At 44.8% G+C, this 27097-nt stretch overlaps 1 long non-coding RNA gene across 2 annotated transcripts, besides 1 other annotated feature; it reads right to left on the bottom strand.

Moving 5' to 3' along the window:
- Positions 1-925: 925 nt before the first annotated feature.
- On the bottom strand, positions 926-26560 carry LOC107984801 (uncharacterized). Of its 2 annotated transcripts, none has more exons than XR_001751596.2 (3): positions 26409-26560; positions 2335-2436; positions 926-2184 (listed from the first exon to the last, which is right to left on the bottom strand). It is a non-coding gene; the product is annotated as an uncharacterized LOC107984801 (long non-coding RNA). The 2 variants fall into 2 exon arrangements; XR_001751597.2 differs by lacking the exon at positions 26409-26560 and adding an exon at positions 14097-14268 and having other exon boundaries at positions 1352-2184.
- Positions 24977-25478: an enhancer, noted in NCBI's record as "NANOG hESC enhancer chr15:73127371-73127872 (GRCh37/hg19 assembly coordinates)". NCBI's record gives its function as "activates a minimal SCP1, AML or CMV promoter by ChIP-STARR-seq in primed H9 embryonic stem cells {active_cell/tissue: H9 hESC(primed)}" and the evidence as "EXISTENCE:reporter gene assay evidence [ECO:0000049][PMID:30033119]".
- Positions 26561-27097: the final 537 nt, after the last annotated feature.

Raw genomic sequence — 27097 nt, 5'->3', positions numbered from 1 at the left:
AGATGGAGTCTCACTCTGTCACCCAGGCTGGAGTGCAGTGGCATGATCTTGGCTCACTGCAACCCCTGCCTCCCGGGTTCAAGCAATTCTCCTGCCTCAGTTTCCTGAGTAGGTGGGATTACAGGCGCATGCCACCATACCCGGCTAATTTTTGTATTTTTAGTAGAGATGGAGTTTCACCATGTTGGTCAGGCTGGTCTCGAACTCCTGACCTCATGATCCACCTGCCTTGGCCTCCCAAAGTGCTGGGATTACAGGCGTGAGCCACCGCGCCCGGCTGTGCATTTTCAACTTACAATATTTTTGAATTACAATGGGGTTGATGGGGACATAACCCCATCATAAGTCAAGGAGCATCTGTACACGCAAACACACAAAAACACGTGGACGTACAACATGCTGGGTGCAGGGCTCAGGGACGCAGGGACTGAGGCCATGTGAGGATTCACCACTGATTATTCTAAAGGCATCCCAACTCTGCTTTTCAAACAAGACTCCAGCCTCACCTGGCCCCCTCCCCAGTGAATGCCTGTGACTCTGCTAGTGCCAGTAAGAACTTTCCAGACCAGAAGCCTACTACCCAAGCTCTTGGGACGGAAGCAGTGGCTCCACGGAGGTGACAGGCAAAGAACAACAGCCTTGGACCTGCCTACAGGAAGCGTCGGAAAGACAATCTTTCTAGAAGACTGGCCCGTGCTGCTCATTTCCACAAAGGAGGGTCATGGGGCCTGATGGAAGAGCACCAATCTTCCCCATATTTTGCCTACGGAGAGCAGATTTGAGAGAGAACAAGGTCTGAGAAAGCAAGAAGCAAAACGCCTGCAGGTGTCCCTCGACTATCCTTCCCAGGGAAGCCAGCTCTAGACTCCGAATAGCTTCATTAGGCCCAGGACAAGGCAGGCCCTCTGGGTTAATGATAGGGAGAGAGGAGAAGAAATGCAGGTTTTCTGGACTTTGACTTGTCAATAGCCTTCACTCCACTCCCCACCCCTCAATAAAGGATACTGTGCTACTGCTGGAAGATCTGCCTGGCTTAGAGTCTCTAAAAATTAGCCCGTCCCCACACCAGAAATGTGAGCCTCTTCTGTTACAGTTTAAGTGGTGGTCCTCCTTATAGAAACAACCCCCAGAGAAGGGCCCTGTGAGCCGTGGGCCAGCAGAGGCTCCCCTCCAGAGCCTAGGGAGGCTGGGACAGGGCAAGTGAGGCAACAGGGGAAGGGTGTGCACTGCCACCTCCCAATGCTGCCCTAGTGGAAGCTCCAGGCCGAGAACAGTTCTCTTTTATTTCCTCCACGCTGGCCAGGCCAGGCCTGCAGCTGACAGCAGGAGAGGGGCTGAGCCACAGAAGCACAGGCGGCCTTCTGTGAGGCAGACCTGGGTGGCTGGGGGGTGCTCGAGGGACAACTTCCCCTGCAATTGCCCACCCTTGCTGCAGCTCCTTAGCCTTAACACTTAGTCTCTGTGATGAGATCACTGGGCAGTTGGTAACTCTGGCCTTAGTGGTGACACAGAAACGGACAGGAGGGCCCATGAGGATGATGGGCTCAGTGACAGGCCAGGGGGTGGTTTCCAAGTGGGCCTGGCACTCTGGCCTGACACAGTGAGATTTTTGGGTGCTATCTACCTGAATGGGGTAGTAAGGTAGCAAAAATAGAGAAAGGGAGAGTACCTTTCAGAATGTGTGTGTGTGTGTGCATGCATGCGTGTGTGTGTGTGTGTGTCTATGCAAAACATTGCTCCTGTATGGTAAAGTGGTTGAGCTGTGTGGAGGGGCAGATTTGATTGTATTCAACTACATGATGAGGACAGGCTTCAATGCATGATGGGGCGTTGGTGGTTGTTTCTCAGTCATCCATTTGTTGTAAAACTCATCTATTGCTGCATAACAAATGACCCCAATTTAGTGGCTTAAATGAACAACAGTTATCATCTTGTAGTGTCTGTGCGTCAGGAATCTGGCACAACTTACCTGGTCCTTTGGCTCTGATCCTCTCACAAAGCTCTTATCAAGGGGCTGGCTCGGTCTGCAGTCATCTCAAAGTTTGACTCATGTGGTCATTGCATGGGTTCCTCATGGGTTGGTGGACTGAGGGTCTCAGTTCCTTACTGGCTGTCATCTGGAGGCTACTCCCAGTTCCTTGCCACACAGGCCTCTCCATAGAGCACTTTACACATGGAAGCCAGCTGCATCAGGGCAAGCAAGTTGAGGAGAGAGAGAGGACAGAATGGGAACCTGATCACACAGGCAACACCTATCCCCATTTGTCTTAGTCCATTTAGGCTGCTGTTGCAAAGTACCAGAGACTGAGTGACTTATAAACAATAGAAACTTACTTCTCACAGTTCTGGAGGCTGGAAACCTGAGATCAGGGTGCCGGCATGGTCAGGTTCTGTGAGGGTTCTCTTCTGGGTTGCAGACTGTCATCTTCTCATATCCTATATGGCAGAGAGGGCAAGACAGCTCTCTGGGGTTCCTTTTATAAGGACACTAATGCCATTCATGAGGACCCCAACCTTATGACCTAATCACCTCCCCAGGGTCCCACCTCCCAATACCACCGCAGCAGGAGTTAGGATTTCAATATGTAAATGTTTGGGGGAAACATTCAGTCCACTGCACCTTTGCTGTCTTCCATTCATTAGAAGTGAGTCACTCAAGGGAAGGGGATTACACAAGGGCATGAATGTCAGGGGTAAAGAGCACTGGGCGCTGGTTTAGAAGTTGTCTATCACATCCATTAATTCATTTAGCAATTATTTCATGAGGACCTGCTATGTACAAGACAACATGCTAAGGGTGGAAGATAGAACAAAACTGTCCTTGTCACTTGCAGGTTACAGCCTGGTAGGTGAGGCGTGTGTCATATGCAAATAAATGTCAAATTCCAAGTACAGAAAATGCCTCAAAAGAGGGAGGCACCTTGTGCCTTTAACCAGGGGACTGGGCCCGGGGACTCCCTGAGGATGATGATTGAAAAGTGGGCCAAGGCGTGAGAGAGGACCGGGAGGTAGCCGGGCAGTATGGAAGGGAGGGGACAGACAGACAGCACTTCTGGCCTAAAGAACAGCATCATGGGTATGTGATGGTGATGGGTGACAGCCCAGAGCACGTGTGCATGTTTGTGTGCGTTCTCTATCTGGGTGAACTTGTGTGTTCACACTGTGTGAGTGAATTTCTTAGTTGCATAACGCTACTGATGCACTTAAGGACTCTAGAAAAGGAACAGGAAGGTGGCAGAGAGAACCAAACCTGAGCAGCCTCTCTGCACTTTCAGAATAATGTTCCTTCACTTTTCTTTCTACTCTCCCACTTTCCCGATCCCCTCTCTGTTAAGGTTTCTTTGGGGAGTCATATATGTCCTCATAAAAGGCAAAAATCTGCTGATGCTGCCTAATGCACCATCCGGAAAGGCAGAGCTGTCTGCAAGGGCTGGCTCTGCACCCAGCCCAGCCTTGGAGGCTCCATTTTACAAACCAGCATCTCCCTTGTTAAAGAGATGGTCTATTGATTGAGGCCAAAGTGACTTTTTATGGGGCCTTCAGTCCAGAGACAGGAAAGAGACTGGGAGGAGACTGGAAGGCAGGAGCCCCTGGTGGAGGGAGGTGGGGAGAAGCCCTACAGCCAGCGGGAAGGGCAGAGTGGGGTGGGAAGGGAGCTGGGAAAGCCCTTAGCCAGGACAGGACCCCTCTAGGTGTTAGGGGAGCCAAGTTTTGAGAGGGCTGAGGCAGGACACAGTGTGACATGTGGCCCAGCCTAATACACCTGTGTCCGAAGCTGACGAATCCCATGCAAGACCCACTCATGTGGAGACAAGCCCAGACCTGCTCAAATCAGCAAACATGTGTGGGTCTTGTCTTCAAGGCACCCAAGGAGGAGGCTTTCCTCCTTCCAGTAGCACCTTGAGGAACTATGCAAGCCGACCCAGGACCTGGGATTCTAGCTCCACTCAGCCAACGACTAACGGCATGACTCCCACTCATTCCTCTCTTTGTTTATTAAAATAATTATCCATGCCCCTGTGCCAGGCACTGCATTAGCCTCTGGGGGTGCAGACGTGGTCCTAGCACTCATGGGCCTAACAGTTTAGATAGAAAATAATCATTGAGCAATACTCACATCACCATAGGATGACAGTTACGAGAGTTACATGAACAAAAAACACAGACCTACCATGGTTTGGAAGACATTATGGAGCCAGGGGGTGCTGAGCCCTGTAGAGGTGACTAGGCCTGTCTGAGTGTCAGCCTTGGCTCCCCCTCCATTCCAGCAACAGCGACCATTGCTGCATTTTCTCAACAGATTAAGTGTATGATGGTCTACTTTCCTCTGACCCACCACCCAGTTTTGCAATCATGGACCTAGTCAATCCTCTGAGACTGAGCCTATCCTGCACGGGCCTGGAGCTGTCCCTCCCACTGTCTCTTGGGTTCCCTTGCACCACAGCACAGTGGATCCCAATATCAGCCACCTGCGTGACCCCTCTCTGGGGCCCGGGAACATTTCCTCACTCCCTTCACACACTACTGGAAGGGAAAGGGTCTCAGGGTGAGATGGACTGAGAGGATGCTTCAGGTCCTCCCTGCTTCAGTGTTCCCCCATTGATACTTGCAGATTCTGGAAGAAATGAGACAGCCTCCTCCATCTTTACATCCCAGCCCACCCCTAGTCTGAACCATGACACAGGGACTGAGGTGCCAGCCTCCTCCATGTCCTCACTGATCCTCGTCTCTTGCCACCCAGCGGCACTTGCATCTCCATCTGTGTCATGCTCTGTTTTCTTCCCTTTTCAGACACCCATCTAAGGCCAGTCATCTAAGCTTAGGATCTTCAGAGCCCACGCATGCTTTCTTCCACCCCCACAAAGCCTGGCTTCTACAAATGAAAGTCTTGCTTTTCTGACCATTGTCTTTCTATCGCTTTAAAGCAGTGGTTCTTAACCTTGGCTTAATTTTTGTAGGGACCTGAAAAGTTTCCATTCCCAGAACTTCTGATTTAATTGATCAATTGATCTTAAAGTTCAATTGATTTAGTTGATGAATAAATCAATTTAATCAATTCTGCAGGGCAGAATTGATGATTCCGCCTTGCAGCCAGGGCCGAGAACCAGCTTCAAAGAGTTTCATTTAAGAATAGCAATGACTTCTTTGTCGCTGCGGATCCTGCCCTCCCTCCCCATGAAGGAAGCTAAGCCTCAGCAGCATGCATTGATTCAACACATGTTAGTTGAGCCCCTTCTATGTGCCAGGCACTGTTCTAGGTGCTTGGGACACAGCAGTGAATAAAACAGACAAAAATCTCTGCCCTTGAAGAGCTGTCATTCTAGCCAGGAGAGAGACAGGCAATGAGCAATAACAATAGCAAATCTTAAATTTCATAGTAAATTAATAGGTGATATGTGCAAAAAGGAAGATTTTTAAAACAGGGTAAGGGGTATCAGGTTGCCATTTAAAAAAGGGTGGTCAGTCAGACGAGACCTTGTGTAGAGGTAACATTTGAGAAAAGACTTGAAGGAGAGGAGAAGGCGAGACCACTCAAAATTCCCAGAATAAAAACCATAGCAGGGCCGGGTGCGATGACTCATACCTGTAATCCCAGCAGTTTGCGAGGCCGACGTGGGTGGATCACCTGAGGTCAGGAGTTCAAGACCAGCCTGGCCAACACGGTGAAACCTCGTCTCTACTAAAAATACAAAAAATTAGCCAGGCATGGTGGTGCATGCCTGTAATCCCAGCTACTCCAGAGGCTGAGGCAGGAGAATCACTTGAACCCAGGAGGCGGAGGTTGCAGTGAGCCGAGGTAGTGCCATTGCACTCCTGCCTAGGTGACAAGAGTGAAACTCTGTCTCAAAAAAAAAAAAGAAAAAAAGAAAAAAAAACATAGCAGATAGTTCACAATATTATCCTGCTATACTTACTTAGGAGGGAGAATCAATAGGACTTGGATTGGAAGTTGAGACCAGGGAGGGATGAGAAAAAAGGCTCCATCAAGGGTGACTCTCAGTTTCTTGCACAGCAGTTATGAGTATTAAAGGGTCTTTGACGTAGCTGTGGACACTGAGATCTGGAGGTGCAAGTCCAGGGTGACATTTTGGCCATGCTGGTGTGCGACACCTATGAAACATCCCAGTGAACCAACACGCAGATGAAGGGACAACAAACTACAGCCCATGGGTCACTTCTGGCTTGTCATCTGGTTTTTACATTTTTAAATGATTGAAAATAATCAAAAGGAGAATAATATTTCCTGATGTGTGAAAATTATATAAAATTCAAATTATATAAAATTCAAATTTTTAATGGTTGGAAAAAATCAAAAGATGAGCACTATTTCCTGACACATGAAAATTATGTAAAATTCTAATTTCAATGTCCATAAACAAATTTCTTTGGAGCACAGCCGTGCTCATTTGTTCTTTTAGTGTCTATGGTTGAATTTGCACTAGAATGACAGAGTTGAATTGTTGCAGAAGACAACACTGAGCATAAAATATTTATTATCTGGTCCTTAACAGAAAAAAATTTGCCAACTCCTCTGTCAACAGTCGGATACGTGGATCTGGAGCTCAGGGGGATCATGCAGGCTGGAGACATAAATGTGGAGGCATGGAAGCCAAGGAAATGGGTGGGATTGGAGAGCAAGTGTGGAATGAGAAGGGAAGAGGTTGAGGCCAGGCCCTGAAAAACTTGAACATTTGAAGGTTGGATGGAGGAGAAAGAGCCCAAAAATAAGATGGAGAAAGAGTAGGCAAGAGGATGGAGGAAAATCCAGAGACTATGTCATCATGAAAGAAAAGGAAAATAAGTTATCATGAGGGACCGAGAGGTTAACAGGTCAATGCTGCTGAGAAATCAAATAATATGAGAATGGAAAGTGTCTAATGAATTCAACAATGAGAGGGTAATTAGTGGCCCTGCTGGGGCAGTTGCAGTAGAGCAGTGAGACAGGAACCCACTTTGGAATGGGATGAAGAGAGGATGGGGGGGGAAGGTAGGGATGAGACATTAGGATAACTTTTTTTGAGTAGCTCAACTGAGAAGAGGAGTTCATCAGCCTGTAAAGAGAAAATGGTGGTTAGAAGTAGAGGAAGGTCAAGGAGGTTTTGTTTTTGTCATTGTTGTTTGTTTAAGCTTCAGAATGATTGGAGGTTGTTTGATTGGAAGAGGGAAAGAATGAAGAGGTGGGAGAGAGAATAGCCAGCAAAGCGACCTGGCCCTGTGAAAGCCAAAGAGCTCCTAGTTCCTGCCGGGCCCCTCCTCCACTGCTGTGAGCCCTTAGAAGTTGGGGAAAGCAGTTGGGGCACGGTAGCTCACACCTGTAATCCCAGCACTTTGGGAGGCCAAGGCGGGTGGATCTCTTGAGGTCAGGAGTTCAAGACCAGCCTGGCCAACATGGTGAAACCCGTCTCTACTAAAAATACAAAAATTAGCCGGGCATGGTGGTGCGTGCCTGTAATCCCAGCTACTTGGGAGGATGAGGCAGGAGAACTGCTTGAACCCGGGAGGCGGAGGTTGCAGTGAGCCGAGATAGTACCACTGCACTCCAGCCTGGGCAACAAGAGCAAAACTCCATCTCAAAAAAAAAAAAAGAAGAAGTAGTTGGGGAAAGCAGACCCAGCCAGAGAAGCCTGCACCTTACCTTTCTCCTGTGGCAGGTGCAGTGGAAAAGGGCGACCTTCTGGAGCCAAACAATGCAGCTTAAAATCCTGTCTCTGCCTCTTCCTACGTGATCTTTGCAAGTGACTACCTCCAGAATCTCAGTGTCCTTATCTGTGAAGTGGGGGACAAACCTCTCTTGTTCACAAGACTTGTGAGGATCTGATGCAGTGACATTCATACACCAGCCACAGTGTCTAACACATCAGAGACACTCAACTAATGTTAGATTTCCTCCTCCATGTCCCAAACCATCCCCAGCCCAGCTACTTCCCAGACTTTGTCTTGGAAAAAGAGAAAAGAATCTCGGATAGAAACTTGACCTACATTTAGTGCCAAGTCTCTCGTCTTTCAGGAAGGGAAGAGAGGCAATTCCAGGGATGCATTCAGCCAGCTGGCCTGGACTCGGCCAGATGCATTGCTTTGGAAACTCCCAGCTAAGGAAGTACTCTGAGATTCCTTCTTCCAATCAGATCTTGGGCTATCTGAACTCTGGAAGCTTTGGTCAAAACAAGAATTCCTAGCCTGTTTTGCCAGGGTTCTAGTATTATAAGAGGTTCTGTAGCATTATAGTGTTTGGAGGTTGTCTGGAATTGTCACCAGGCCACCAAACTTTCACCTCAGGAGATGATGTTTGTTTGTTTGTTTGTTTGTTTTGAGACAGAGTCTTGCTCTGTCACCCAGGCTGGAGTGCAGTGGCATGATCTCGGCTCACTGCAACCACTGCCTCCCGGGTTCAAGCAATTCTCGTGCCTTAGCCCCCGAGTAGCTGGGATTACAGGTGCACACAACCACGCTTGGCTAATTTTTGTATTTTTAGTAGAGACTGGGTTTTACCATGTTGGCCAGGCTGGTCTCAAACTCCTGACCTCAAGTGATCTGCCCGCCTGGGCCTTCCAAAGTGCGGGGATTACAGGCGTGAGCCACTGCACCCAGCCCAGGAGATGGTTTTTCTTTCACTCCTGAGAGCCCACAGAGATCAACAGTTCCCCGCACAAAGGAGGGTGTGGCCAAGATCAGGAGGCATGGCTGATGTAGGGTGAGGGACAGCGGGGGGTAGTGTCCACCGTTACCGTGCTTGTGGGGTCATCTGCACGGAACACCTGCCTCCTGCAGTCAGCCTCTCAGGCTGCAACCCAGAGGATCCTGTTATAAGCCTCACCTCCCCAGCCTGTTGTCTAGAAAACATAAAATGGATAGATTTTCCTGGCATTTCCTTGTCAAGCCTGGCAACATGACTGCAGCCTTGGCTTTACACTCTGTTGGGAAAGCATTTCATCATTTTCTACGACAAAAATCCTGTGAAGGGGACAAACCAGGTTGGTCTTTCATCATGAGAGATCAACTCAGCAGGCCAGGGAGGGAGAGAAGCCATTTGTTCTGGGAAGCAAATCAAAGTATCAAAGACGCCTCCCGCAAGTATTTAAATTAAATATTATGTTTCATTGAATGTAAGATATATAATTAATAAAGGTTCCCCACCTTCTTTATAGTCTTACTAAGCTGCAAAGAGATCATTACCAAGCAAACCTCTCCACAGTGCTCAGAATGATGGGTGTGTGCGTATGTATGCATGTGTGAGTGACAATGTGTGCCTGAGTATTTCTGACAATTTGTGCCTCAGCAGTCATTTGACTACAAAAAGCCCACCCAAACCAACTTCTGTAAAAGAGAATTTGTTATGAGGAATTGGGAACATCTCACTGTAACAGACAAGTTGGGCAATGTCCCTACTCTGTCAGCGTCTACACCTTCCAATGGGACCAAACCACTCCCCTCACTAACACCCACAGCTCACTGGACCAGGACATCCAACCCATGCTGATTCAGTTGGCTTCTGACTCCCAGAAATTTGAAACTGGGACACAGACATGCAAATTAGTTAGTTGGTGGTGCTGTGACTAGGAGGGCATGTCTCGAAGGCACGTGTCAATGTTTGAATTATGTACCTCCTTAGCACAGTGGTTCTCAAACTTTTGCATGTTGAAGGATCACCTAGGGCATTTGTTAAAAGTGGAGTTTCTTTGGCTTCATCCCCAGAGATTCAGGGCTCTAAATTTTTAATAAATGCTTCAAGTGATTTGAATGTAGGTATTTTAGCAAGACAGAAGAGAGAAAGAAAAAAGAGAAGCAGATGACAGATGGAAGACCTTGCTGCCCCAGAATGATTTAAAAAAAGAGAGAGAGAGAGAAACTAACTGCCTCGGCTGAAGGCGGCTTCCAGTTTTCAGTTAAAGTCCCACGTAAGACCCTTCCATCATTTCTGCCCTTGTGTTCTGTGGATACCTCTGATTCCTAAGAAACTCTAAGTTGGTTTCTGCTTCTGCCACCAAAGAATTCCTAAAAGTACTGGTGCTTATGGAACCAAGGGCAAGTAACCATCTGGTCCAATTAGAGGTGGCTGGTGGGAGCAGAGGCAGGACCGCCTGCTATAAACACAGCTACCTCCTCTGCCTCTCTCGCAGGTACAGTGGCAGGTCCTCGCTTCTACTACAGTGGATGTTTCTGAGTGTGTAAGGGCCCCTGAGTGTTTGTGTGCCTGTGTGTGTGTGTGCAGGTACACAACTCTGGGTCTGCTGCCTGTGAGGCCTGGGTATGGTATTTTCTCAGAGAACAAGATTATAATTGTGAGTGGGTATGTGTTACTGCAACTGTCTGTGCACGTGAGTGGTAGAGAACCAAGCCAAGCTGTATTCTAGGTTATAATTGTCTACATTAGAGACTCATTAACTGTATCGCTGCATCTACCCATAATACAGCAGGATTATATTTAGAAATTAGCTTCTTAAAGAGAGAGAACAGAGAGCCCCCTGTTATATGAAGGGGGGAGTTCCAGACCATTTGGAAAAGAAAAGGTGGCCGGAGTTGCACTCAGAATGACCTGGGGACTAGGCAGAGACAGACACCAGGGGTCTGCAGGGTCAACCCCAGACAGCCTGAGAAGGCACCAGATTCCGTTGCCATGGTGTGAGAAGCAAAGTTAGAGCACAAGGAACATGGCCCCAGAGCCAGGAGACAACAACAAAGGACACAACGTGCGTAGTCCAAAGTCCCCAGGGCTTTAAGAACCCAGTCAGTGATCAGAGGAGGTGATTTCCTCCCATCTCAGCCTCCCGAGTAACTGGGACTATGGGCACACATCACCACACATGACTACTTTTTTGTATTTTTTTTTTGTAGAGGTGGGGTTTCACCAGGTTGCCCAGGCTGGCCTCTAACTCCTGGGCTCAAGCGATCTGCCTGCCTTGGCTTCCCAGAAAGCGAGGATTACGGGTGTGAGCCACCATGCCTGGCCCTTGTGCAGCATCTTAAGGGTACTTCTACATCTACGACAGTCACTACAGCAAAATTGCCATCACAAACCAGAGCGGAGAGGCAACCTCTCCTTCCCATACAGCACCCCCACCCGTGGCACTTTATCTGTCTCTCTCTGAGGTTGTGTATTGCTTTCTACCTCCCGCTTTACCATGTGCATGTCTATGGGAAAGGTCCACCATCCCCTCCCACCTGCACACTCTCTGGCAGACATGCTCGGTCATCTACCCAGATCCCCCACACATCCCCTTTCTAATGCTATGGTCCCACCCCCAGCTTCTATGTGCTTTGCTACTCATCGTTCGCAGCTGTGACCTTCTCCAGCGGCTCATCCTTGGGCTCCTGGAGCATACAGGCATCCACCAGACTCAGAGCCAGAGGTCCATCCCCTTCCCACCCTCCAGCAAGGACTGACAGGTACAGGGTTAAAAAGCCCACCCTCTTGCCTGAGCAGGCACAAACTCTCAGAAGCAGTTTATACCTCAGACCTCTCCACCGGATCAAACGATGTTCAGTCTTCCCCTGAAATCTCTCCTTCCATTGGCTTCTTCCCTTTCCAACACTGCTTCCCCTGACTCTCTCACTGAGCTCTCCTTGGGACACTTTCTTTATAAGTCATTTGCATGCACGCTGGGCATGATGGCTCACACCTGTAATCCCAGCACTTTGGGAGGCCCAGGTGGGCAGATCGCTTGAGGTCAGGAGTCTGAGACCAGTCTAGCCAAGATGGGGAAATCCTGTCTCTACTAAAAATAAAAAAAATTAAAAAATAAAAAAATTTTTAAAAGCCAGACATGGTGGTGCACACCTGTAATTCCAGCTACTTGGGAAGCTGAGGCACAAGAATCGCTTGAACTCAAGAAGTGGAGGGTGCAGTGAGCCAAGGTCGTGCCACTGCACTCCAGCCTGGGCAACAGAGTAAGACCCTGTCTTCAAAAAAAAAAAAAAAAAAATCATTTGCATACAAATCCCTGGCTCAGAGGCTGCTTCTGAAAGAACCTTCTTCTTAGTGTCCCAGCCCTGCCCACAGACCCCAGAAAATCTAGGAGACCTTCCACCCCTTCTTGCCTTGTGTATCTGTGCTCAGCCCATTCTCCTTCACCTTTCTTGTGCTCTGCAGGGCTGCATTTCTCAGGTTTCTCTATCATCTGGTTTTTTATTTTGTTTGGCCACTGGGGAGCATTGGCAGGAAATTGGGTGCTGGGCTCTTTCTCACTCTGCCTCTGCTTTAAGAGAATCTCGGACAGTTGCTGTGTGTTTTCCATTCCTATAGATGCTGCCCCGACAAGCCCACTGTGGTTCCAGCTCTTGCTGGGTGACCCTGCAGCCTGGGGGTGACAGTGCTTCCTGCTGCTGTTACTTTGAATTGTCTCACTGTCCTCTGTTTAACTTCTAGGCTGGGCGACTGACTATTACCTGTTTAACAAATTCCCTGCATTAAAGTCCCTCTGTTTTTAAATATTCAAGAGGTTTCCATTTCCTGGTGAGACCCTGACTGATCCAACTCAGAATAAGAAAGGGCTTTGTGGTGGGTTGAAGAAGACAGGGGTCAGGGGAGAGTTCTGGAGGAGAGACACAGGTTAGAGAATCACTGACATAGAGGTGGAGGATAAAACCAGAGAGTAATGAAGGATAAAGCCATGAGAGTGGCAAGACTGATCACACAGAGGGTAGGAAGCTCACGGCCTCACAAAGCAACCCATCCCGAATTAGTAAAAACTACTGTTTAAAATGAATTGGAATCCGCCTCACTGTAACATGCACCAACTGTTACTACAGATCAAATCTGATTTTTTCCACATGCCAGTCCTCTGGGTTTTCAGTGAGGCATGTCTTGCTCTCTTCCACATCTTCGCTAAGATGACATCTCTGAATCTTCAGGCTTTTCCTGGCAGGGCAGGGTTCCTAAGGTCCTTGCTCCCCTGCCCTGGTGACTTGCCTCTGGACATGATCCCATTTAGCAGTACTCCTTACAAATAGGCTCCTACGGGGAAACACCGGTCTCTAGATGTCATCTCACCTTCCTTGCTTCAGAAGGAAGGACACGAAACCTCTACAGAGGCATCCAAGACTGAATTCCAGCCAGGCACAGTGGCTCACGCCTGTCATCCCAGCACTTTGAGAGGCCGAGGCAGGAGGGTTGCTTGAGCCCAGAAGTTCATGATCAGCCTGGGCAACATGGCAAAACCCAGTCTCTCCAAAAAAAAAAAAAAAAAAAAAAAAAAAAAGCAAAAATTAGCCAGGCATGGTGGCACGTACCTGTGGTCCCAGCTACTCAGGACGCTGAGGCAGGAGGATCTCGACCCCAGGAGGTAGAGGCTGCAGTAAACTGTGAACACACTCCAGCCTGGTCAACAGAGTGAGACCCCATCTCAAAAACAAACAATCAAACAAACTGAATTCCATTTTGGAGTTGTAAGCCCAACTACTGATTTACTGTGGATTTGCAGACATGTCACAGAACAGGAGAAAAGATAGGTCTTTTATTTAATGTAAACTCACCCCTCTTGTCTGTGGTAGTTGGTTGGATAACTCAACATGCATTCTAATCTCCTTTGCCTTGCCCACCTCCACTCCAGAGACTGGGAAGATGAAATATTTTCTTTCCCAGCTTTCCCTGAAGCTGGAGGTGAGAGGCCTATAACATAGTTCTGGCCAATTAAATCTGAATGCAAATCTGTTGGGGCTTCTGAGAAAGTTTTGCCTTCCTAATAAGAGACAAGTATCTCTGGAGCCATCCCTTCCTGGTCCTACTTGCCTTTGACATAGTCATAACGTGACTGTTGGGGAGATGCCTGGAGAATCTCAGAAAAGCTGGCCCTGACACAGGGGACCACGGAGCCAATGTGGACAGTCCCCACCTCTGGACTTCTTGCATTAGGGAAAAAATCTGAACCAATACACTGGGGAAAAATAGTTTCAACTTCTAATACAAGGAGTTAATATTCCCGATATTTTAACAAACGTCCTAAAATAGAAAAGACCTCAACTAGATAGAAAAATAGGCAAGTCAGATGAACAGACCATTAACAGAAAAGAAATGCAAATGGCTCTTGACCATATGAAAAGATGCTCAACCTTGCTCTTAATAAGAGAAATGCAAATGAAAACTGAGATCTCATACTCACCTATTCCTGGTAAAAATTCAAAGCTTTGACAACATAATTCTGTTAATGAAGCTCTGGAGAATAGACACTCTCATACTTTGGTGGCAGGAATGCAAAATTGTTGTACAATCACCATGGAAAGAATTTGGCAAAATTCTCTCTGTCTTCACTCTTTGACTCAGCAATCTCACTTCTAGAAACATCTCCCAAATATGACAAAAAGAAAAAAAACACATGTGCAAGCTTATTCATTACAGAGTTATTTGTAAATGCAAAAGCCACCTGCCCTGACCCACCCAACAACAGGGGATTGTTGAATAAACTATGGTACATCTGAAATCCAAAATGCTCCAAAATCCAAAACATTTTGAGCATGAACATGACACCACAAGTGGAAAATTCCACAAATGACCTCATATGACAGATGCAGTCAAAAGCAGTCAAAACTTAGTTTCACATGCAAGATTATTACAAATATTATAGAAACTTACTTTTAGTCTCTGTGTTTAAGGTGTATATGAAACAAATGAATTTCACACTTAGATTTGGGTTCCATCCCCAAGATATCTCGTTATATATATGCAAATATTCCAAACCCTCCCCCCACACCACAAAAAAAATCCAAAATCTAAAACACTTCTGGTCCCAAGCATCTTGGATAAGGGACACTCAGCCTATATATCTATATAATGGAATTATATGCAGCTGTAAAAAGGAATGAGAACCATTTCTGTACATGACAAAGGAGTTTCCAACACATATAAGTACATAAAGTAAGATGGCAAATGTGTGTATAGTATGCTACCACTTATCCAAAAAGGGGTAGGATACAATCATATTTTTAATGGAAGGTTTTTTTTATTATTAAAAAATGGTTACTAAAGAGGCAGGAAAGAGACCAGGCACAGTGGCTTACGCCTGTAGTCCCAGCACTTTGGGAGGCCAAGGCGGGTGGATCACTTGAGGTCAGAAGTTAGAGACCAGTCTGGCCAACATGGTGAAACCCCAACTCTACTAAAAATACAAAAAAAAAAAAAAATTTAGCCCGGTGTGGTGGCGCATGCCTGAAATCCCAGCTACTTGGGAGGTTGAGGCAGGAGAATCGCTTGAAAGCAGAAGGTGGGGGTGGCAGTGAGCCGAGATCACGCCACTGCACTCCAGCCTGGGTGACAGGGTGAGACTCGATCTCAAAAAAAAAAAGAAAAAAGGGCAGGAAAGAAAGAAAAATGTGGCAAGGGCAGGGACAGGGCTGGACTTCTTAGAATGTTCCTGGTTTTGTAGGTTTGACTTTGGAACCATGTAAACATTCTCCATAATGATAAAATTTAATGTTAAAAAAACATCTAAAATCAAAACTAAAATGAAACAAGTAAAACAAAAATGAATCTCTATTTCAGTAAGAAAAATTCTAATATTAAGTCAATCTTGCATTCCTAGGATAAATCCGATTTGATCATGATGTATTATCTTTTTTACCCGTGTGGGATTCTGTTTACTGCTGTTTTGTTTGGGATTTCCACTTTGTTACCCACTCGAAATTACCCTATAATTTTCCTTTCTCATACTGTCCTGTCTGTTTTTTTTTTTTCTTTAATCAAGCCTGCACAAGTCTCCTAAAAGTTGTTTAAGGGTATGCTACCGTGTTCTATATGCTGGCAGAATTTACATGGCATTGAAATTATTGTTCTTTCACTGTTTAGTAGAATTTAGCCACATGAGGCCAGGCGTGGTGGCTTATGCCTGTAATCCCAGCATTTTGGGAGGCCAAGACAGGTGGATCACTTGAGCTCAGGAGTTGGAGAGCAGCCTGGCCAACATGGTGAAACCCTGTCTTTACTAAAAATACAAAAAATTAGCTGGGCGTGGTGGCAGGCACCTGTAGTCCCAGCTACTAAGGAGGCTGAGGCAGGAGAATCGCTTGATCCCGGGAGGTGGAGGTTACAGTGAGTCGAGATGGCACCACTGCATGCCAGCCTGGGTGACAGAGAGAGACTCCGTCTCAAAAAACAAAAAAGAATTCAGCAACATGAAACAACCATATGAAACAAGGTTTTCAAAGCACTGGACATCAAGCAATGAAAGACAGGTCTCCCTCAGAGACAGGAAATAAATAAGGTCAGCCATCTTCTTACCCCAGCTTCCTGCTGCAAGGGAATTTCCAGACTCAAAAGAGGGATGGGTCTCAAGCAGAGCCTGATAGACACCCCAGCTTGAGGAGATGGAGGTGATAGTCCAAGAACATCAAAGTCTTTTGAACTGAATGAAAATGAAAACATATCAACATACCAAAATTTGTGGCTACAGCTAAAGCAGTACTTGGAGAGAAATTTAAGCAGTAAACACCTATATTAGAAAAGAAAGGTTGACATAGAGCCACAGTTTTTAGAAAAAAAAAGAAATGGTTACAACTTCCACCTTAAGACACTAGAAAAAGAAGATCTTATAAAACGCAAAGTAAGCCAACAGATGCATGAAAAAATGCTCATGATCACTGGTCATCAGAGAAATGCAAATCAAAACTACAATGTGATACCATCTCACGCCAGTTAGAATGGCGATCATTAAAAAGTCAGGAAACAACAGGTGCTGGAGAGGATGTGGAGAAATAGGAAAGCTTTTACACTGTTGGTGGGAGTGTAAATTAGTTCAACCATTGTGGAAAACAGTGTGACAATTCCTCAAGGATCTAGAACTAGAAATATCATTTGACCCAGTGATCCCATTACTGGGTATATACCCAAAAGGATTATAAATTATGCTACTTAAAGACACATGCACATGTATGTTTATTGTGGCACTATTCACAATAGCAAAGACTTGGAACCAACCCAAATGTCCATCAATGATAGACTGGATTAAGAAAATGTGGCACATATACACCATGGAGTACTATGCAGCCATAAAAAGGATGAGTTCATGTCCTTTGCAGGGACATGGATTAAGCTGGAAACCATCATTCTCAGCAGACTATCACAAGGATAGAAAACCAAACACCGCATGTTCTCACTTATAGGTGGGAATTGAACAATGAGAACACTTGGACACAGGGTGGGGAACATCACACACCGGGGCCTGTTGGGGAGCGGGGGCGCTGGGGGAAGGATAGCATTAAGAGAAATACCTAATGTAAATGACCAGTTGATGGGTGCAGCAAACCAGCATGGCACATGTATACCTATGTAACAAACCAGCACCTTGTGCGCATGTACCCTAGAACTTAAAGTATAATAATAAAAAAAATGCAAAGTAGGCAGAAGAAAGAAAAAAATAAAAATCAGAAGGCCAACGGATGAAACAGAAAATGGAAAGCAATAGAAAAAAATCAATGAAAGCAAAAGCGATTTTCTTGAGAAGATAATAAAACTGATAAACCTCTAGCTGGGCTTCTAAGGAAAAAAAGAAAAAGGACAAAAATTGCCAATATTGGGAATGAGAGAGATGATATCACTACAGATTCTACAGATAAAGCAAGGATAATAAGGGAGTATTATGAACAAATTAATATTATGACACCTTAGATAAAAATGAACAAATTATTTAAAAGACACAAATTACCAAAACTCGCTCAAGAATAATAGATAATCTGAATAGCCATATATCTATTAAAGAAATTTAATTCGTTAATTAAAAATTCACACAAAAAGGCTGGCCACAGCAGCTCATGCCTGTAATCCCAGCACTGTGGTAGGTCGAGGTAGGAAGATCGCTTAAGACCAGGAGTTTGAGACCTGCCTGGGCAACATAGCAAGACCCCTTCTCTACAAAAAATTTAAAAATTAGCCAGTTGTGGTGGCATGGACCTGTAGTCCTAGCTACTCAAGAGGCTGAGGCAGGAGGATCACTTGAGCCCAGGAGTTAGGATTCAACGTTACAGTGAGCTATGATTGCACCACTGCACTCCACCCTAGGTGACAGAGCAAGACCCTGTCTCTGAAAAAATTAAATTTAACTAAAAAATTTAAAAGTCACACAAAGAAAACTCCAGCCCAGGTGGTTTCACCAAACATTATAGGAGGAAAATTTCCTTCAAACATTATGCCAGAGATTAAGGAGAAACATTATCAATTCTGCACAAACTCTTTCAAAACATTGAAGAGCAGGGCATATTTCCCAACTTATTCCATGAGACTAGCATTACCCTGATACCAAAACCAGACAAAGACATCAGAAGAAAAAAAAAAGATAGACCAATATTCCTCATGAATATAAATGCAGAAGTTCTAAACAAAATTTTAGCAAATCAAATTCAACAATAAGTAAGAAAGGATAATACATCATGACCAAGTGGAGTTTATCCAAGGAAAAGAAAAAAGGCACCAGTCTTTATTGGCAGGTGACATGATCCCCTATGTAGAAAATGTGATGGAATTTACAAAAATAGCTACTAGAATTCTTAAGTAAGTTAGCATAGTTGAAGGACACAAGATCAATATGTAAAAATCAATTCTACTTCTAAATACCAGCAATGAACAATCAGAAGTTGAAATTTTTAAAACACCATTTACAATAGCATAAATAAATATGGAATACTTAGGAGAAAGATATGAAAGATCTGAACACTGAAAAATGTAAAATATTGCTGAGAAAAACCAATGACAACCTAAATAAATGGAGAGATATATCATGTTCATGGGTTGAAAGACTCAAGATGTTTGTTCTCCCCAAATTTATGTGTAGGTTCCATGCAATCCCAATGAAAATTCCAGCAGGCTTTTTTGGTAGAAATTGACAAGCTAATTCTAAAATTTGTGTTGAAACACAAAAGACCTAGAAAAGCAAAACTTTGTAAAAGAACAAAGTTGGAGGACTAACACGGCCTGATCTTAAGAATTATTTTAAAGCTACAATTATCAATATAATTACTACTGTAAAGACAAAAAATAGATCACTGAAACAAAAAATAGAATTTAGAAATAGATACACACTGATTTTCGGCAATGGTGCAAAGGAAATTCAATGGAGAAAAGATAATATTTTCAGCAAGTGATGTAGGAACAACTGGACCATCCACACAAAGGAAAATGAACTTCAATCCAACAGCTTGCACTGTTTACAAAAATTAACTAAAAATGACCCTAGATTTAAATGTAAACACTAAAACTACAAAAAATTTTAGAAAAAAGTATGAAGAAAATCTTTGTGACCTTGACTTAGGCAAAGATTTCTTAGGTGTGACACCAAAAGTACAATCTGTAAAAGAAAAATTGATAAATTGAACTTCATCAAAATTGAAACATAATGTTCTTTGAAAGACACCATTAGAGAATAAAAGACAAGCTGCAGACCAAAAGAAAATGTCTATAAACCATGTGCCTGCCAAAGGACGTGTATCCAGCATATACAGAGAATTTTCAAAACCAAATAGGAAAACAAATAACGTAGTTAAAAATGGTCTAAAGACAGACACTTTACCAAAGAAGGTATGTGAATAGCAAATAAGCACAGAAAGATTTTTAACGTCAGTAATCATTAAGGAAATGCAAATTAAAACCACAACAAAATAGAGCTACACAGCCACAAGAATGGCTAAAATTAAAAAGGCTGACCGTATCAAGTGTTGATAAGGAAACAGAGAAACTGAATCTCTCATGCACTGCTGATGGGAATGTAAAATGGTTCAGTCACTTTGGAAAATGGTTTGTCAGTTTATTAAAAAGGTAAATATATACCTACCGTATGTTCTAGCCTTTCCACTTCTAAATATTTACCCAAGAGAAATGAAAGCATATGTCCATACAAAGACTTGTAGATGGATGTCCACAGCAGATTTATTTGTAATAGCCCAAAACTATTAATAAGTGGCTCAAATGTCCATCAACAGGTGAATGAATAAACAAATTGTGGTGTATCCGTACAAATACTATTCAGCAATAGAAAGAATGAACTACTGATCAATGCAACAGCATAAATTAATCTCAAAATAATTATGCCGAGTGTAAGAAGATAGACAAAAAAGACTACATCCTGTATGATTCCACTTACTTAAAACAAAAAATGCACATTAATCTATAGTAACAGAAAGCAGATCAATAGTTGCCTGTTGTGGTAGGCAACCTCTAAAACGTCTCCCTGCAATACCCACCCCCTGGCACTCACACCCTTGTGTAACTCCTTCCCCTTGAGAGTGGGCGGGACCTTGTGACCCACTTCTAATGAACAGAATATGGCAAAAATGATGAGATGTCGCTTTTGAGATTAGGTTTCAAAGAGGTGGTGACTTCTGTCTTGCCTATAAAATGAAATCACAGCCCTGGCGGATCCCGTGGTTACAACCTTGGGAGAGACCCTGAGGCAGAGTCACCCAGGTAAGTTGCGCCCCACACTCCTGGCCCACAGAAGATGAGAGATGATAAACATTTGCAGTTTTCAGCTGATGAATTTTGGGGTTATTTTTTGTACAGCAATAGATAAGTAATACATCTGTAGATTGGGTATCACTATTAATTACTATTACTATTAATAGTAATTGATAATATATAATCCTTATATAATAAATAGATTATAATATATGGATTGCATATAATAAAACATAAGTTATATATAATAAATAGATCCAATTTTATAAATAGATAAGTAATACATCTGTAGATTGAGTAATGCTATTAATTACTACTACTATTAGGTATTGCTATTAATACTCAGGTGTGAGAATTGGGGGGAACACAGGTATGAAAGGCAGAAGAGAGGGGTTGCAAATGGGCATGAAGAAACTTTTGGAGGTAAAGGATAGCGTCACTACCTTGATGACCATGATGGTTTCATGAGTGTATGCATATGTCAAAACTTACTAATTCATACACTTTGAATATGTACACTTTATTATATGTAAATGATATCTCAAAAAAAGTTGTGTTTTAGAAAGGTGCAGTGAGGTCCAAGAGAGAACTAAGAATTTATCAATGGGCCTGGCACGGTGGTTCACTCCTGTAATGCCAGCACTTTAGTAGGCTGAAGTGGAAAGATCGCTTGAACCCAGGAGTTTGAGACCAGACTGGGTAACATAGGGAGACCCCATCTCTACAAAAAATAAAAAAATTACCCGGGTGCAGGTGCAGTGGCGTGTGCCTATAGTCCCAGCTACTCAGTAGGCTGAGGCGGGAGGATCACTTGAGCCCAGGAGGCAGAGGTTGTAGTGAGCTGAGATCATGCCACTGTACTGCAGCCTGGGTGACAGAGTGAGACCCTGTCTCAAAAAAAAAAAAAAAAATTATCACTGGATCCAGCAATGTGGAGGTCATTAATCTAGGCGACCTCCAGTCTGGATTTGCCCAGGACTGTGGTGGTTCCTGGAACACAAGACTTTCCATTTTAAAGCCTGGAAATGTCCCAGGCAATCAGGGATGAGCTGCTGACGCTGACAGGATGAGAGGGGCATCTGTCATGGAAGTCAGTGGCAACCTTGACAAAGGCTGTTTCGGTGGGACTCTGGGGACAAAAACCCTCTGGAATAGTTCAAGATAGAATGAGAGAAGAATTGGGGATACTGAATATAGACAACTCTTTTGAGAATTTTTGTTCCAGCAGCAAGGAGAGAATTGCGGTAGTAACTGGGGAGGTGGGGGGGATAGGGTGTCCAGCAAGTTAAGTTTTAAGATAGGAGTAATTACAGCCTGTGTGTGTGCGAATGGAAATAATCCAGTAGGGAGAAAGTTTTTGATAATGCTGCACCATACAGACAGAGATCACTGCAGGAGAAAAGCCTCCAGTAGCCGACCTACTTCTCAAAGCAGAGTTCCCACATGTGGTCTGCAGCTCCCTGCCAGGCCACAGGAGCTCCCACAGTGGGTCACAGTGACCCCTCATGTCTCTTCTTCACTTCTTACAGGCAAGTGACTCCTGCTTCTATAGACTCTCATACTTTTGGCTTAGAAGGGTTACTTACTAGTAACGTAATAAGTGAGTCATGAAAAGTTACTAAAATGTACTATCCATAAACTAAAATTACCTAGGACTCTGACTGTGTCCTTTGCTAAAAAACCTGGCTGCCACACAACACTTGGCAACACTGTCAAGCTCCTACCCTGCAAGCACACTTGCAAATGGTTAGAATTTCACAACTTTCCGGAAGGGCTCATGGCTACGACTTCATCAGTGTTGCCCACTGGCTGTGGTTTTTGTTTCGTTACTGATGGCCTTGCTATTTTTATTATAAAAGCTTCTTTTAGTTTAGCTTTAATGTGACCATTCACCTTTTAGTGGGTTGCTAGGTTTACTTCACAGTCTACAATAATCCAGATTGGCAGCGATAATATTTAACCTGCAATTTTCCTGTATTTCATCAAGGCCGTCTAAGTTTGATGTTCAACCCTTAATCACTCATATCCCTATGATGGGCTGTTAGCAAATATCAGCTACTTTCATAAGTAAAACAAAACTATTGAGAGTTATTTTTAAGTTTTTAGGAAATTGTTTTATAGTACAAAAATCCTTTAGTATGTTCATATTCTTTTTTTTTTTTTTGAGATTGAGTCTCCTTCTGTTGCCCACGCTGGAGGGCAGTGGCACGATCTTGGCTCAATGCAACCTCCACCTCCTGGGTTCAAATGATTCTCCTGCCTCAGCCTCCTGAGTAGCTGGGATTACAGGCACCTGCCACCACACCCAGCTAATTTATTGTAATTTTAATAGAGACAGGGTTTCACCATGTTGGCCAGGCTGGTCTCGAACTCCTGACCTCAAATGATCCACCCACCTTGGCCTTCCGAAGTGCTGGGATTACAAGTGTGAGCCACCGCGCCCAGCCTAGTATGTTCGTATTCTAAAGTAACTACTAAGTGAATCATTTATGTATTGCTAGCAGCACGGCAAATTCAATCTGTTTTATTTCTTTCCATTCTTTATAATCCTTGAGTTTTTTCCTGAGTGGAAATTTGAGGGGAGGGGAGAGCACGAAGTCTTATACCCTGCCTGTGAGTGCCACAGTCAAAAGGTTCAGGGGCCCCAGTTCTACAATTCTAGAAGGGGTTTTAGGACTTTTCAGGACAGACCTTCATGCCAGCGCAGGCAGAGTTTATAACTCTCCAAATCCTGTGAACAGCGGTTTTCCTAATTCCAGCCTGGCCCCCACAAGTGCCCACAGCTATTCCTTCCTTCTTCTTAAGAACCAGCCCAGAGTAGGCTGTGGCTGTGCACAACAGGGAATAACATCCCATTTTTCTGGGCTGCATCTTTCATTTTTTTCTTGCCCCTTTGGCTTCTCTCTTCTCCTTGCCCCAAGATTTAGACTTACTGCTCTAAATATAGCTTCCAACAGGTGTGCAGCCAGGGTGGGGAGGCTGTGGTCCAGCTGTCCCCAGACACATGGATTCTCTCCAAAGGCCTTGCTGGGCCACAGCATTGGGAGGGACAAAAGGAGGCACAGCTTCTCATTCCCAGAGCAAAGCTGAGCCCAAGAGAGTGCGCAAGCTACCTCCAGACTAGGGAGAACTACTCCAGGTCAACAAGGAATCAGGAATTAGGTCCTATGTTCCCATTCGTGGCAGACATTGCCAGATGTCTACTCAATAACCGTGTCCTCCTTTCTTGTTAGTATAAACCTCATTTGTCAGGAAGGTGGGGGTGGAGAAAGGGATCAACAGAACAAAGAGTCCCAGCTAAAGACAAAACTAAATTAAACAGGTCAAGCGCAGTGGCTCATGCCTGTAATCCCAGCACTTTGGTAGGCTGAGGCGGGCAGATCACTTGAGGTCAAGAGTTCAAGACCAGCCCGGCCAACATGGTGAAAACCTGTCTCTACTAAAAAAAAAAAAAAAAAAATTAACCAGGCGTGGTTGTGCGCACCTGTAATCCAAGCTACTTGGGAGGCTGAGGTAGGAGAATTGCTTGAACCCAGGAGGTGGTGGAGGTTGCAGTGAGCAGAGATTGCACCATTGTACCCCAGCCTGGGTGACAGAGCAAGACTCTGTCTCAAAAAAAAAAAAAAAGGCTAAATTAAACATTATATTTTCTAGCCTACCTCTGGCCAATAAGACATACATACATTAAAAGGTTTCTAAGAAAGACTTGCTTTCCTCTCTTCCTGCCCACGTCCTGATAAGTGGGGCTGCAGCAGCCATCTTGTGACCATGAGGAAATGGCCAAGAGAAACAGAGACTGCGGATCCAAATCTTTGAACCACTAAAACACTACCACTACTTATCACTCTTGTTGTGTGGGGTTAAAAAAATAATAAATACTTACAGGTTTAAATTCCATCTCTTGACTGAATGCAAGTCCTAATGGATAAACCATCTGATATGGTATGGCCTGGCTCTGTGGCCCCATCCAAATCTCATCTTGAATTGTAATCCCCATATGTTGAGGGAGGGATCTGGTGGGAAGTGACAGGATCATGGACACGGTTTCCCCCATGCTGTTCTTGCGATGGTGAGGGAGCTCTTATGAGATCCCATGGTTTACAAGCGTGGCATGTCCTCCACGTGCTCTCTCTCCTGCCACCTTGTAAAGAAAGTGCCTGCTTCCCCTTTGCTTTCCACCATGATTGTAAGTTTCCTGAGGCCTCCCCAGCCATGCAGAACTGTGAGTCAATTAAACCTCTTTTCTTTATAAATTATCCAGTCTCAGGTAGTATCTTTATAGTAGTGTGAACATGGACTAATGCACTATCTTTCACCCAGGGCATGGGGCTGGGCAGGTAACTGAAGACATGCCTGTTTGATATCATCCCTCCTTCCTCCCCTGCTCCTCTTCCCCCTCCTCCCTTATCTCCTCCCTTTCCCCCTTCCTCATTGAGACTGTACTCTGCACCAAGCTCTGGGCCATGCCCTGAGAGAAAGGAGTGAAACTTCAGGTAGCCCTGGGGAGAGCCTGCCACCTGCTCTACAGGGCTGATCTTATCCCCAGAGATAAGCTTGGGTCTCCTAGGTGATTTCTATGGCTTCTCCCTCTGCATATGCTTTCTTTCTCTTCTTAGGGGGGCAGGTGGTAGAGAGGGAAGAGCATAAATCTCTGTCACAGCCCTGTGTTTGAATCCCAGCTCTGCCCCCTATTGGCTGTGAGATCCAGGAGAATCACTGAGTACAGTTTAAGTGTGAGCTCCTCTGAACAATGAACTGCCCTGTGGATTAAATGACACAGCAAGAGTTTACCCTTAGTGGGTGCCTACTCTGGGCCAGATGACTTTTAGACATGATTTCTGATCATCAGAGGCAGTGCTTTTTAAATTTGAAGGTGCAAAGAATCACAAGGATCACAAGGAATGTGCAAGGATCTTGTTTAAAGGCAATTTTGATTCAGGAGGCCTGGGGTGAGGCCTGAGATTCTGTACTGCTAACAAGCTCTCAGGATGCAGCTGGTCTACAGACCACTCTCTGAGTATCCAGGCTTACATATAAATACATGAGGTAGGTCAGAGGTCACAAACTCAAATCCAGAGGGCCAGCAGCAAAACTCACTCTGAGCAAGAGGTGCTGGTGGGACCATGGCAAACTGAAGCAGGGATGCCTTGTCTGAAGGAGGTAGCCCTCTGCAACCTCACAAAAAGGTGGGCTCAGCATTGCCAAATATTTCCCCTCTTTTCCCCCAAAGAAACCAACATTCCAGCGTTCCTGATTGTAAACAACAAATTCAACTTTTAACAGCTTCATTGAGGTATAACTGACATACAACACACTCCAGATATTTGAAGTTTACAAGTTGGTAAGTTTTTATATTTGTAAACACCCGTGAATAAACTCAATTTTTTCAAAAAAAACCACTCAGTCAGCTGACTAAACATAGTTGCAGATCAGATAACAGGCTGTAAACCTCCAATTGCATCCTCTGAAATAGGACTAGTACTTCCACTTTAAGATGTGATCACTGAGAACTAGAAAGGTGAAGTGACCATCCTAAGGTCACACAGCCTGCAAGGAAGGTGTCAAGGTTCAATCCTGGATCTGACTCCACAGTTCATGCCCTCCTCCTTCATCCTCTGCCACCAAGGAAAGTCTCTCATGTCACCTGTCTCTGGGACTATAACAAATAAAGGATGACTCCCTGCCCCCTTCTCCACTTCTCATTCTCAGGAAATGATCTCTAAAGTACAAAGGCTCAGCTCACACATGTAACCCTAGAAGAAGTAATAAAACAGGTTCTGCTGAAATCATGAACACTCCTAGAAAATGGATCCAACTCCAGAAGTCTCTGTTCTGACTCCCAAAGCACAGCTCTGGGGGGCTCTCTGCAGCCTAATGACTCCTGTGGGAGAGCCCAGGTCCCCAGAACACACATAGAGGGCAGGAACTGACCAAAGCCCTCAGGGAGCAGATTCCAAATCAGGGAGAATGTTACTTCAGCTACAAGTAACAGAACGCCTCAACTCAAAGTATCTTAGCATGTAAGAGGGTTTATTACCTGATAGATCAGGAAACACGGAGTTGGGAAGACAGGATTCCAGACACGGTACTTCAGCACTCTGACTCTCTTCTCAATGGTTTTCTGAGAGTTGCCCCACTCTGTGTATTGGCTGGAAGCAAGGTTGCCACAGAAGTTCCCAGGCATCACAGCTGGACAAAGAAGAGAAACCATATTTTCCTGAGCTATTTATTAGAAGTGAGGAAACGTTTCTCAAAAGTCCCCCTGCAGACTTCCCCTCATGTCTCCTGTAGTCTTTCCATGGCCTGAACTTCCTCACACTATGGAGATTAGGTTCCAAGGGCAAGCACTGAGAGAGAGAGAAAGAGAGAGAGAATATAAATATGCAAGTGGGACAGATGTCACATCTCCTTTCATGACCTAGCCTCAAAGTCATGCAGCATCACTTGCACCACATTTAATTCATCAAGGCAGTCACAAAGGGCCATCCGGCTTCAAGGAGAGGAGACACAGAATCCACATCTTGATGGAGCAGTAGCAAGTTCTCAAAAAACAGGAAACAGATTGTGGCCACTTTGGGAAAATATAATTTTCCACATAAAGGGATCTCATCGCTGTTTGCCTGGCCCCCCTCACACAGCTCACTCCCATAGCCAAGTCTTACTGGGCAGGATGGAGACCACCTGTAGAACACTCCTGCAAGGGTTCCCTTGTCAACACCCACATTT

Source organism: Homo sapiens, chromosome 15 (genome assembly GCF_000001405.40).
Source record: "Homo sapiens chromosome 15, GRCh38.p14 Primary Assembly".
NCBI lineage: Eukaryota > Metazoa > Chordata > Mammalia > Primates > Hominidae > Homo > Homo sapiens.
Note: the sequence above shows the minus strand (reverse complement) of the source record. Positions and strands in the feature narration are given on the sequence as shown.